Source organism: Homo sapiens, chromosome X (genome assembly GCF_000001405.40).
Source record: "Homo sapiens chromosome X, GRCh38.p14 Primary Assembly".
NCBI lineage: Eukaryota > Metazoa > Chordata > Mammalia > Primates > Hominidae > Homo > Homo sapiens.
In genome coordinates this window covers 106674485-106686812 of record NC_000023.11, presented here as the reverse complement: position 1 = coordinate 106686812, position 12328 = coordinate 106674485, and the positions used below count along the sequence as shown (strand labels likewise).

Here is a 12328-nt window from a genome sequence, read left to right as displayed (position 1 = left end):
TTAAAATGTAGGTGCTTACTGCTATAAACTTTCCTCTTAGCACTGCTTTTGCTGTATATGATACATTTTGATATGTTGTATTTCTATTATCATTTGTTTCAATACATTTTTCGTTTTGTTCTCAGTTTCTTCATTGACCCATGGGTCATTCAGGAGCATATTATTTAATTTCTATATGATTGTATAGTTTCAAAAATTCCTCTTGTTACTGATATCTAGTTTTATTCTATTGTGGGCAGAAAATATATTTGATATAATTTCATTATTTTTTGAATTTTAAAAACTTGTTTTGTGGACTAATATATGGTCTATCATTGAGAACGATCCACGTGGTGAGGAGAAGAATGTGTATTCTGCAGCCATTGGATGAAATGTCCTGTAAGTATCTATTAGGTCCATTTGGTCTATAGTGCAGATTAAGTTCAATGTTTCTTTGTTGATTTTCTGCCTGGAAGATCTGTCTAATGCTGAATGTAGGGTGTTGAAGCCTCTAGCTATTATTTTTTGAGGTCTTTCTGTCTTTAGCTCTAATAATATTTATTTTATATATCTAGATACTCTAGTGTTGGGTGCATATACATTTACAATTGTTATATCCTCTTTCTGAATTGACCCCTTTATCATTATGTAATGATCTCTGTCTCTTCTTACAATTTTTGTCTTGAAATATATTTTGTCTAATGTAAGGATAGCTACTCCTGCTCTTTTTTGGGTTTCCTTTGGCAGGGAATATATTTTTCTATCCCTTTATTTTCAGTCTACATGTGTCTTTAGAGGTAAAGTGTGTTTTTCATAGATAGCAGATAATCGGGTCTTGTTTTTTGTTTCATCCATTCAGCCATTGTCTATCTCTTGATTGGAAAGTTCAGTTCATTTATATTCAATCTTATTATTGATAATTAAGGGCTTACTCTTGACACTTAGTTATTTGTTTTCTGGTTGTTTTGTGGTCTTCTCTTCCTTCTTTCCTTCATTGCTGTGTTCCCTTTAGTAAAGGTGATTTTCTCTGGTGTTATGACTTCTTGATTTTTATTTTTTGTGTACTTGTTGTAGGTTTTTTAATTTGAGGTTGCCACGAGGCTTGCAAATGATATTTTATAACTAATTATTTTAAACTGATAACTACTTAACACTGATTGCATAAATAAACAAACAAACAAGCAAAGAGAAAACTGATAAAACTCTATACTTTAACTTCATCCTCCCATGTTTTAACTTTTTGTTTTTTCTATTTATATTTTATTATACTATCTATTTCTTGAAAAGTTGTTGTAGTTTTTATTTTTGGTAGGTTCATCTCTTAGTCTTTCTACTCAAGATATATGTAGTTTAGATACCACAAATACAGTGTTATAATATTTTGTGTTTTTCTGTGTACTTACTATTACCAGTGAGTTTTGTCTCTTCAGATGATTTCTTATGACTCATTAACATCCTTTTCTTTTGGATTGAAGAACTCCCTGTAGCATTTTTCACAGGACAGGTCTGGTGTCAATGAAGTCCCTCAGCTTCCGTTTGTTTGGGAAAGTCTTTATTTCTCCTTCATGTTTTAAGAATATTTTATCTGGATAGTCTATTCTAGGATGAAAGTTTCTTTCCTTCAGTACTTTAAATATGTCATGCTACTCTCTCCTGGCTTGTAAGGTTTCCACTGAAAAGTTTGCTGCCAGGCATATTGGAGCTCCTTGGTATGTTAGTTGTTTATTTTCTCTTACTGCTTGTAGGATCCTTTCTTTATCCTTGACCTTTGGAAATTTATTACTTAATGCGTTGAGGTAGTCTTCTTTGGGTTAAATCTGGTTGGTGTTCTATAATTTTCTTGTACTTGAATATTCCTATCTTTCTCTAGGTTTGGGAAGTTCTCTATTATTATTCCTTTGAATAAACTTTCCACCCTGATCTCTCTACTTCCTTTTTAAGACCTATAACTCTTAGATTTGCCCTTCTGATGCTATTTTCTAGATCTTGTAGGTGTGTTTCACTCTTTTTTATTCTTTTTTTCTTTTATCTTCTCTTTGTATTTTCATATAGGCTGTCTTCAAGCTCACTAATTCTTTCTTCTGCTTGATCTTTTTGTTGTTGTTGAGAGACTCTGATGCATCCTTCAGTATGTCATTTGCATTTCTTAGCTCCAGAATTTCAGCTTCTTTTAAAATTATTTCAATCTCTTTGTTAAATTTATCTGATAGGATTCTGAAATCCTTCTCCATGTTACTTTGAATTTCTTTGAGCTTCCTCAAAACAGCTCATTTGACTTCTTTGCCTGAAATATCACATATATCTGTCTCTTCAGGATTGGTCACTGGTGCCTTGTTTAGTTCATTTGGTGAGGTAATGTTTGCTTGGATGGCGTTGATGCTTGTGGACTTTGGAAATTGAAGGGATAGGTACTTATTGCAGTCTTTACTGTCTGGGCTTGTTTGTACGCATCCTGCTTAAGGAAGCTTGCCAAGTCTTTAAAGGGACTTAGGTATTGTGGTGTAAGTCTTTGGTCCCTGCAGCCATATCTTCATTACGGGGCACTCCAAACCCAGTAATTCTGTGTCTCTTGTAGACACACAGAGTTACCGCCTTGGTGGTCTTGGGTAAGATCTAAAAGAATTCCCTGGATTACCAGGCAGAGACTCTTGTTGTCTTCCCTTACTTTCTCCCAAACAAACAGAATCTCTCTCTCTGTGCTGAACCTCCTAGAGCTGAGTGAGGGTTGATACAAGTACCCCTGTTCCCACCACCATTGGAAATGTGCTGGGTCAGATCTGAAGCAAACAGCACTGGGTTTTGCCCAAGACCCATGGTGACCATTCCTGGCGGCCACCTATGTTTACTCAAGGCCCTACGGCTTTACAATTAACAAGTGGCAAATGCAACCAGGCTTATGTCCTTCCCTTCAGGGTGGCAAGTTCCTCACCCAATCCTGGGAGGGTCCAGAGATGCTATCCAGGAGCCAAGGGCTGGGATTGGGACCTTAGGAATCTACCCAGTACTCTATTCTACTGAAGCTGATGTGGTACCCAAGTTGCAAGACCAAATCTTTTCTACCCTTTCCTCCACTTCTCTCAAGTGGAGGAATTTTTTCCTGTGGCCATCACCACCCCAGGCTGTGGCAAGTACTGCCTGGCTACCGCTGATGTTTAACTGCCAAGGGTTCTTCTGTCAGCCTGTGGTGAATGCTTCCAGGTCTGGGTCTCTCCCTTAAGGGCACTGGCTCCCCTCTGACCCAGGGAAGGTCCAGAAATACCATCCAGGAGCAAAGGCCTGGTATCAGGAACTCTAGAAGCCTGCTTGGTGCTCTACCCCAATGTGGCTGAGCTGGTGCCCAAGCTGCAAGACAAAGTCCCTTTACTCTTCCCTCTCCTTTCCTCAAGCAGAAAGAGTCTCTCCCTGTAGCCACCACAGCTGGGAATGTGCTGGGTCACACCTGAAGCCAGCATGTCTCTGAGTCTCACCCATGGCCCACAGTGAGTACTGCCTGGCTACCACTGCTGATTATTCAGGACCCAAGACCTCTTTAGTCAGCAGGTGATAAATCCTGCTAGCACAGTGTCTTTCCCTTCTAGGCAGCAGGTTATCGTCTGGCCCAGGGTGTGTCTAGAAATGTCATCTGGTAGCTGAGACCTGGAATGGAAGCCTCAGCACTCTGCCCAGTGCCTTATCCTACTTTGACTGAACTAGTATCCAAGTTGCAAGACAAAGTCCTCTTTAGTCTCCCCTCTCCTCTCCTTAAGCAGAAGGAAGGAGTCTCTCCTGGAGCTGTAAGCTGCACTGCCTAAGGTTGGGGGAGGGGTGATGCAAGCACTCCCTTGGCTGCCTTAGCCAGTGTCTCACTGCCTGTGAGCCCTGCACAGCACTGTTGCTTGCCCAGGAATTGCAGTCCTTGTGGTGTAGACTGCCTTTCATTTATTTAGGACCCCAGAGAACTTCAGCCTGTGGTGGTGGGGCTTGCTGGAACTCAGGTTCCTACCACTGGGATGGAGGATTCCCCCTGGCTAGGGCTGTTCTAAATGCTCCCTCTGTGAGCACTGGCTGAATTCTGCCCTGTGTTGCTTTCTTCTGTGACAGGGCAGCACTGAGTTCCGATGCAAAGTCCCACAATCACTGCACTCTCCCTCCCCCATGCACACAGATTCTCTGTCCACACTACGTGGTTGCTGCTGGTGGATGGGTGGTGTAGGCAATTCAAGACTGTCTTTTCTACCCTCTTCAGTGCCTCCTTCCTTAATATGTTAAAACCAGGTACTGTGATCACTCGCCTGATTTTTTGTTCCTATAAAGGTGTTTTTGTGTGGATAGTTGTTCAATTTTGTGTTACTGTTGTGCGTACAATTGGTGGAATCTTCTTTTTGACCATCTTGCTCTGCTTCCGCCTGAAGTACATGACGTTATGGTAACCATCGTCATATATAATGCACATAAGTGCTTTTACATTTTCCTTTTATGGTTTTCAGAGAGTCATAACTTGCAAATACAATTTTAAATTGTTTTTAAAAATTTGCAGTTGAGTAGAATTAGTCCTAAAATAATAAATACCCATCAATACAATTTTCTTTCTTTTTTTTTAACTCAAGATAATTTGCTGGAAGGTGAATGGTCTAAGTGCTTATTCAGTGTTTTTAGTTTGTCTGTGGAACACCTACATTAGGATCCCTTGGAAGCTTACTAAAATGAAGGTTCTTGGGTCCCACCCTCCATCATCTTGAATCAAAATCTGAGGGGAAACCTAGGAACTTGCTTTTTAAATAAGCTCTCCAGGTAATTTCTATGCACTTTCAAGTTTAAGAACTTTAGATCATACAACTTCTACATGATGTATAGTAACTGGATCTAGTTCTGGTTTTGACAAATAAGTTGCTGCCATTTCATTTTAAACTCATTGTGCCTCAACTTCCAATCTATAAATGTTTGATGTTTACTTTTACTTTAAGTGGTACTCTGAACATTTATGGAGCATCTCACAACCCAAAACTTTCCACAAGTGCCAACTCTGCAATAACTAGTATCACATCCTTGGGAAAATAAAAATCTCTCTGGGCCCTTTACTTCATTTGCACAATAAACAAGGTTAGACTAGGATTTATCTATAAGGCCTTTTCCAAATGAAACGCACTAGAGCTCTGTGAAAAAGTTGTTTACAAATTACCAATTTCTAATGTTTTCCTTCCCAGCAGCACAATTCATAATAAAGCTGCATTAATAGTACATGAAATTACAGAGCCTAAATAGGAGGTGAGTTTAAAGCATTGTGTGACACTTGAGCTCTAATAAAACTAACAAATGCTTGAAACAGTACTATATACCAATGATTTGCAAAGTTATTTGCACATTAAAATCACCTGGGGACCTTTTAGCTACTCCAGTGCCCAGGCCACACCCCAATTAGAGGTGCATCTCAGGCACAGTAATTATGAAGCTTTCTAGGTGATACCAATATGAAGCTAAGTTTTAGAACCACTACTATATATTGCTGTCAAAATTTAACATTACTAGACCTTTTCAACTACTTGTACTTAATATTAAGTACCTGAATGAAAGTACTTATTACATTTAAAAATCTATATTTTAACTGTAACAAAATCTGCATTTTAATGTTACCTTTAAAATTTATATTGAATATATCTACCTCTCTCAATATTATTTGTTACCTAGCTGGTCTCCTTGCTTTCACCTTTGCCTCCTACATTTGTAGAATACAGGTTTAACTTCTGTTCAGATACTCAAAATAATAGTGACTTAAAGAAAACAGAATTTTATTTTTTGTCTCATGTAACAGCCAAAACTGTGGTAAGCAGTGTGCAAAGCTGGTATGGCAGCTCCACAATGACAGGACCTTGGCTCCTAATAGCTGGTTGCTCTGCCATCCCTAGGGTGTTGCTCTTCTCTGCGTGATCCACAATGTCTCATGACTATGCTCACTTTATAGCTAGCAGGAAGTGGAGGGTGGACGGAAATAAAACATTCCCTCTTAACCTTTGAGGGAATGGTTCCAAAATTGTACATATCACATATGCTCACTCCCATTGGTCAGGACTTGGTCATAGGGCCTACTTAGCTACAAAGGAAGCAGAGCAAGGTATTCTTTATTCTAGGTAGCTTTGTTCCCAGATAAATATTGGGAGATCTATTACTATAGAAGAAGAGAACAGGTATTAGGGTACATCTATTATAGCAGTCTCTGCCAATCTCCTTATAATCCGTTCTCCTTCCAGCAGACAGTGACCATTCTAAAACAGGAATTGAATCATGGCATATACTAGCCACAAATCTTTCAGTGGCTTCCCAGTGCTTTAAAGATACAAACTTCTAAAGTCTTTGCCATAGCCTATAAGACGGCATAGTCTGTAAGAGCTCTTGTCTATTTGCCTGTCTCATCTTGTATCTCACTTTCTGCACTCCAGCCATATCAGTCCTTATTCAATTCTCAAACACACCTTTTGCTGCATGTCCTTTATACCTCAAGTTTACTTCCTCAGGAAAAACTTTCCTAGTGCCCCCCACTTTGTTAAAAAGCTCTAATATAAATCACATGTTTCCATTGACACATTTGTCTCACTTATTTGTGCAATTATTTGGATGTGTTTCTCCTCCATGAGACTTTTAAGTTCCATGAGAATAGGGGCCTTGTTTATTTTTGTTTGTATTGTATTGTGTTCCTAGTGCTAGCCCAGTGCTAGGCATGGAGTGGACACTCGAAGATTTGAATATAAGCTGCAATGATTTAGCTCATTATTTCATGAGCCCCAAGACATAGAATTTATTGTGTAGTGATCTAATATACTAATAGAAATTGTATTATTATTTAAACATTTTACTTTTTCTATTTTTTTAGATGCAGGGGTCTTACCATGTTGCCCAGGCTGGTCTCGAGCTCTTAAGCTCAAGCAATCCACTCATCTTGGCCTCCCAAAGTGCTGGGATTACAGGCGTGAACCACCACACCCAGCCTCAAACATTTTACTTTTTGCTCTAATTAGAGTTTAAAGAAATAGACTTTGGAATATAAGCTTGACCTTACCATTAAATTGTCTTTACTAATTTACATTAAGTCATTTAGTCTTTTTCAGTTCCCCATCTACAAAATAGATATTAAAACCTTGTTAGGGGCAACTTCTAGGTCTCAAGCTACTAGAAGTCAGGTACAATAACCTTAGAATAACATCAGAGTTACTTGAGTTCTTTTAGGGATATTGCTTGATTTTCACTGAAAATGTGCATATAATTTTTCAAAAAGCTAATATAGTTCAGATTTGTTTTGACAACAGTCTTTAAACCCATATGGAAGAATCATCTTGGCTCATTTAGTAAGTATATATTTAGGCCAAAAATATGAAGGAAACACATCAAATTCATTCAAAATGAGACAGGAGACCAAAAAGTTATTGCATTTTAACTTCTTTAATAATTCACTCAAAACTGTAACACGAGAGGAATCCACTGTTTAGTTAACATTTACACACAATTATAAAGAATAAAAGACTGAATACATTTATGAACAAACTGCAGTATGTCTTTAGGTTCATAGGCTGCTCAACACATTTAAAGCGTATAGCAAATGAAGTCACAGAACTATAGGGCTACAAGAAAATCCCACAAGTTTATAGCTTAACTGGAATCAGATTTATCTTGATACAGAATAATCTATAAACTCATTTAATGGTCATTTTGTCTCATCTAACAAACCACACAGATGTCAACCACCGGGCCTTGCAAATGCAGAGTGGCCATTTACATTTAAAATGAAGTATTATAGACAACCAGAATAAAATCAATTCCCGTGTTTACTATTTTCCATTTTCAATATGAGCATTTGAAATGTTAATATGAGATACAATTTCACTATTTAAACTCACATTACATATACTGAAACTACCAATGAGTACAGCAAGAATATAGACATACTGCAGCCTTTGACTTTAACATCAACACACTGGTTAAAATACTGAGAAATTCGAACCACACAAAGTCACAAAATGAAGTGGAAAAACCTTAAGACAATTTAATTTAGCACGCTTATTTTGCAGCTGAGCAAGCTAAGGACCAGGGGCAACTAGACCCTAATAATGTGTACTTTTGAAAATGATACAAACTACCTTGGTTGTAAGAAGTGCAGGTTGAACACTTTAGGAGAACAGTCTTCAAACTGGCAATTCAAAATTTCCCATTATATGTGAATAAAATTGGAAGGATGTTAAATGTCCATGGAAAGTTACTCTTGTAAGTTAGGATGCCTTATACTGAGGCTTTAGAATGAAAGTACACTTCACAAATGGAATAGTGAACATAAATTACCAGAAGTCAAGATAATAGTCATACTAGTAAGGTAAGCAAGGTAAATTCCCTTATACACAAAAATTATTTTGATGACCTTTTTCAATAATGAATCTGAAATGAAGTGTTTTAAAAAGCTCCCTAAACACAAAACGAACATAAAACTGCTTAATAACTTTAGAGCTCATGTAATATTCTTGCTGAAAACAGTTACTGAAATTACCAGCAAAATGATGGAATATCTTTAAAGCAGTACACTCGTATAATCTGTAATAATTTCATTTGCTAACTTTTAAGAAGTATTCTCTGGACTATAAATCTTGTGCAAATAGACTTCCACTTTATTATTACCCAAATTACAGATATCCAAGATACCGACGATATGCACTCTATCCAGTTCAGTTGCTGCTTTTATAATATCACCTAAAAGTAAAAAGCAGATGGTAAGTACTGTAAAATAGTTAAATATTTACTTGACTTTAGTATCACATAAGCTGTTAATTTTTTTCTTATAATATTAACACTGTGCCCCATCCTCTCCCTCTTCCCTCCAATTTATTACATGCATTTACCAAAATTATATGGCAACTTCTGCAGATAAAGGTGAACATATCAAACAGATACACCAAAACTGCCATGGCATGAACTGGTATTCAAAAGCCACATTTAGTTTTCGGGTTTTTGTTTTGTTCTTGGTGGAGCAAAATAAATCCAGATATCTTCAAGGTCATTTGTAAGGTTCCAAATAAATAGCTTATTGGTATACTTCAAAGGAATGCAAAGATAAAGTTTTCTATTTTGAAATTCAATTATCAATATTTTTGTAAAACTATAAGCCATAAAGCAAAACTGTATTTGCCTTATATATTTTACCGCATAAATATATGTATACATATGTGTATATGTGTAACTGATGCATCTTTTAAAGTGTATTTCCTTTAAAGTGGCTTTATTAATTAAAACTTATCTTTGGATACTCTTGAGAAACTCTGTGAAAAATGTATCAGGTCTCCAGTAAGACAATTCGCTTCTCAGAAAAAAAAAAAAAAAATGGATCAGGTGAGTGACATGGCAGAGTAACGAGTTCCAGGGCCCTGTCCTTCTATAAAGCATCTTATAAGCTGACAAAAACTCTTAGAATCAACTTTTGCAGAACTCTAGAATCTAGACAAAAACTTAGAGCAACTAGGGAAAAATTAATAAAGAAATAAACTGCTACACGGTGGGTAGAGTGTGCTGTGGTATTTTAAATTGCCTGCCTATCACTCCTCACTCCGCAGATAAGGGGCAGTCATGAAGATGGCTGCTTGCACTTCTGGTGCAGGTTGCTAGTACCAAAGGGAGCAATGCAGACCTTATTCTCAAAGATGTGGTTGTGTGTTCTCATCTTTACAGTAGCTCCCTCAAGGAAGATGCAAGGGTTTACTTTTGTTTTACCCAGTTTGGAGCATTCCCACAGCTGGGATGGCTTTTCTGGTGGTGGCATTGCTGAACGCATTTAAAGACAAAAATAGTAGCCAGTGCAGCTGGGCAGGTTATAAAGTTGGGACAAGCAAGAAGCAAACCAAAAAATCCTGGGCAGGAAGAAGCTGAGAAAAGATATATGTGGTGTAAAGTGGGCTTTAAAAACTCCTTTGTACAACGGGGAATCAAGAAGGCCACATGCATACCCAGGGCAGACATATGGTCAGAAAAAGGCTGAGAAGACTCTAATCACTCATCTGTGGCTGACCTTCATGCTCTGAGCAAGCAGGAAGTGAAGGCTAAGGCAGAATTGTAAATGGCCTGGCTAAGTGTCGAAGGAGTGCCACCACTCCAGGTCAATTTACAAAAACTGGGAGAATATATTTTTTCTTTTTCATTTCTGGGCTCCAGGTGTTTAAGGAAACTGTCAAAACACTAGCTGACTACTGCTAAGATAATGCATCACAGACTTTAGTGGCTACGCATAAAAATACTTTATTTTCAATATAAGAAAATGAAAACAATTAGAGGTTAAGTAACAAGCAAAGTCACATGGTGATTCTTATCCAGACAAGCTGGCATGAAGGCATATGCTTTTAATCTTTTATGCTAGAGCTACATCTCTACAAAACTGTGCTAAAATATAGTAGTAGATCCAGGTTTTGTGGGACCCCAAGGGTATACTATTTGGGGGCACTTTTTAATGAAAAAATACAAAATACGTAAGAATGCCAAATGGGTTTTAGAAGGGATTTGTGCAAATTTAGGCTACATTAGCGTCACAGTAAATCCATCTCTGCTAGACTTATCAAAAGATCTAATTAATGATTTAAAATTGTATAAGTTCACTAAATCATAATGATTACAACTGGTAGTACTATATAATTTTCTTTTGCCTTGAGTGGGGTGGACTTTAATCCAGATGCTTTGGAAAGATTTCAAGATCTTGAGATCTGATGATAACAGATAATTCTAATTGTTATCGTATTTTGACTTTTATGAACAATGACTTACTTCTATCCACAACATAAAATATAAATAAGTCTTCTGTTCAGCTGTTCAGGTAATTCTGCCTAGTTGTGTAATGCTTTGAACAAATGACAACTTCTCTATGCCTCAATTTGCTTATCTAGTACCTACATCATAGGGTATTTTGAGGATTGAATACACATAAAGCATTTAGAATGGTAGTTGACACACAGCAAACACTCATTAAATATTAGCAGTGATAATCTTTACTTAAGGAAACCTATTATGAAATTAGGATAGTATTTATATCATAAAAATTCTTTAAAAAGGACTATAGATTTTACCTAATAAAACGAGCTACTCTTCGGTTCATTTTAAATTGCTAGAATTACAAAAATTATACATTTTTAGGAAGCTTACAAATGCATAAGTTAAGTGTGACAAAGGCAACACTATGTGTTCTCCACTCCATTTCCTCTCTTTGGTCACAGGAAAAAACAGTGTCCTGGCTTCCCTTGTAGCTAGGCTGGGATCATGTAACTTAGTTCTTGCAAATGAGAATGCAAGTAGAAGTAATGTGTCAATTCTGGTCCAGCATAATTAAAAGCCAGCATCTCCTTCATCTTTCTTCCTCTGCCTTGACGACCCTAGAAGCCATTTTTTCCTGCTTAGGCAGCAACAAGATGGAAGCAGACTGGATTCGTGAATTGCTGTTGGGAAGAGAGCTGATGACTGATTGCATCAGACTTGAGCAAGAAATAAACTTCTTGAGTTAAAGTGTCTGTGACTTTAGAGTTGCTTTGTAATTGAGCATAGTCCTATAGATATTGTAATACAGTGTGGTATTCCTGTCTCTGAAACTAATAAGGGAAACCTTGATTACCTAGAGAATAATAAAATTGTTTTCTTAGATGTGTTAAAACATTTCCATACCATGCTGTACTTCCAAAATGATATCCTTGGACTTCAAAGTTAAAGATGACACCAAGTAGGATATCATATCAGTAATCAGTATTCAATAAATGACTTGGGATAAATGGCTATTTGGAAAAAAATATGAAGCTGGATCTCTATCTCACTCTTTTTTTTTTTTTTGAGATGGAGTCTCGCTCTGTTGCCAGGCTGGAGTGCAGTGGTGAGATCTCGGCTCACTGCAACCTCCACCTCCCGGGTTCAAGCAATTCTCCTCCCTCAGCCTCCTGAGTAGCTGGGACTACAGGCGTGCACCACCACGTCTGGCTAATTTTTGTATTTTTAGTAGAGACGGGGTTTCACCATGTTGGCCAGGATGGTCTCGATCTCTTAACCTCGTGATCCGCCCGCCTTGGCCTCCCAAAGTGCTGGGAGTACAGGCGTGAGCCACCGCGCCTGGCCAAAGATCCCTATCTCATTCTTTACACAAAAATAAATTCCAAATGGATTAAAATTTTAAGTTGTAAAGATGAAGCCATATCAACATCACCCAAATCAAATTCAGAAATGGGCAAAGCATTTGAGTAGATATTTCTCCAAAGAAGACATACGAATGGGCAGCAAGCACATGAAAAGATGCTTAACACATCATTTGTAATCAGGGAAAAACAAATCAAAACCACAATGAGATACCACTTCACATCCATTAGGATCGCTGTTG

At 37.5% G+C, this 12328-nt stretch overlaps 1 protein-coding gene and 1 long non-coding RNA gene across 3 annotated transcripts in view; one reads left to right on the top strand and one right to left on the bottom strand.

The window, feature by feature from the left end:
• Positions 7374–12328, bottom strand: part of RADX (RPA1 related single stranded DNA binding protein, X-linked) — a 67462-nt gene continuing 62507 nt past the window's right edge. For both annotated transcript variants that reach the window (NM_018015.6, NM_001184782.2), the window contains one exon: positions 7374–8685. In NM_018015.6, coding sequence (NP_060485.4) covers positions 8555–8685 — 131 coding nt within the window. In that variant the 3' untranslated portion in view covers positions 7374–8554. The remainder of the gene's footprint in view (positions 8686–12328) is intronic.
• Positions 8625–11475, top strand: LOC124905235 (uncharacterized). Its single transcript, XR_007068365.1, has 2 exons — positions 8625–8705; positions 11347–11475. It is a non-coding gene; the product is annotated as an uncharacterized LOC124905235 (long non-coding RNA).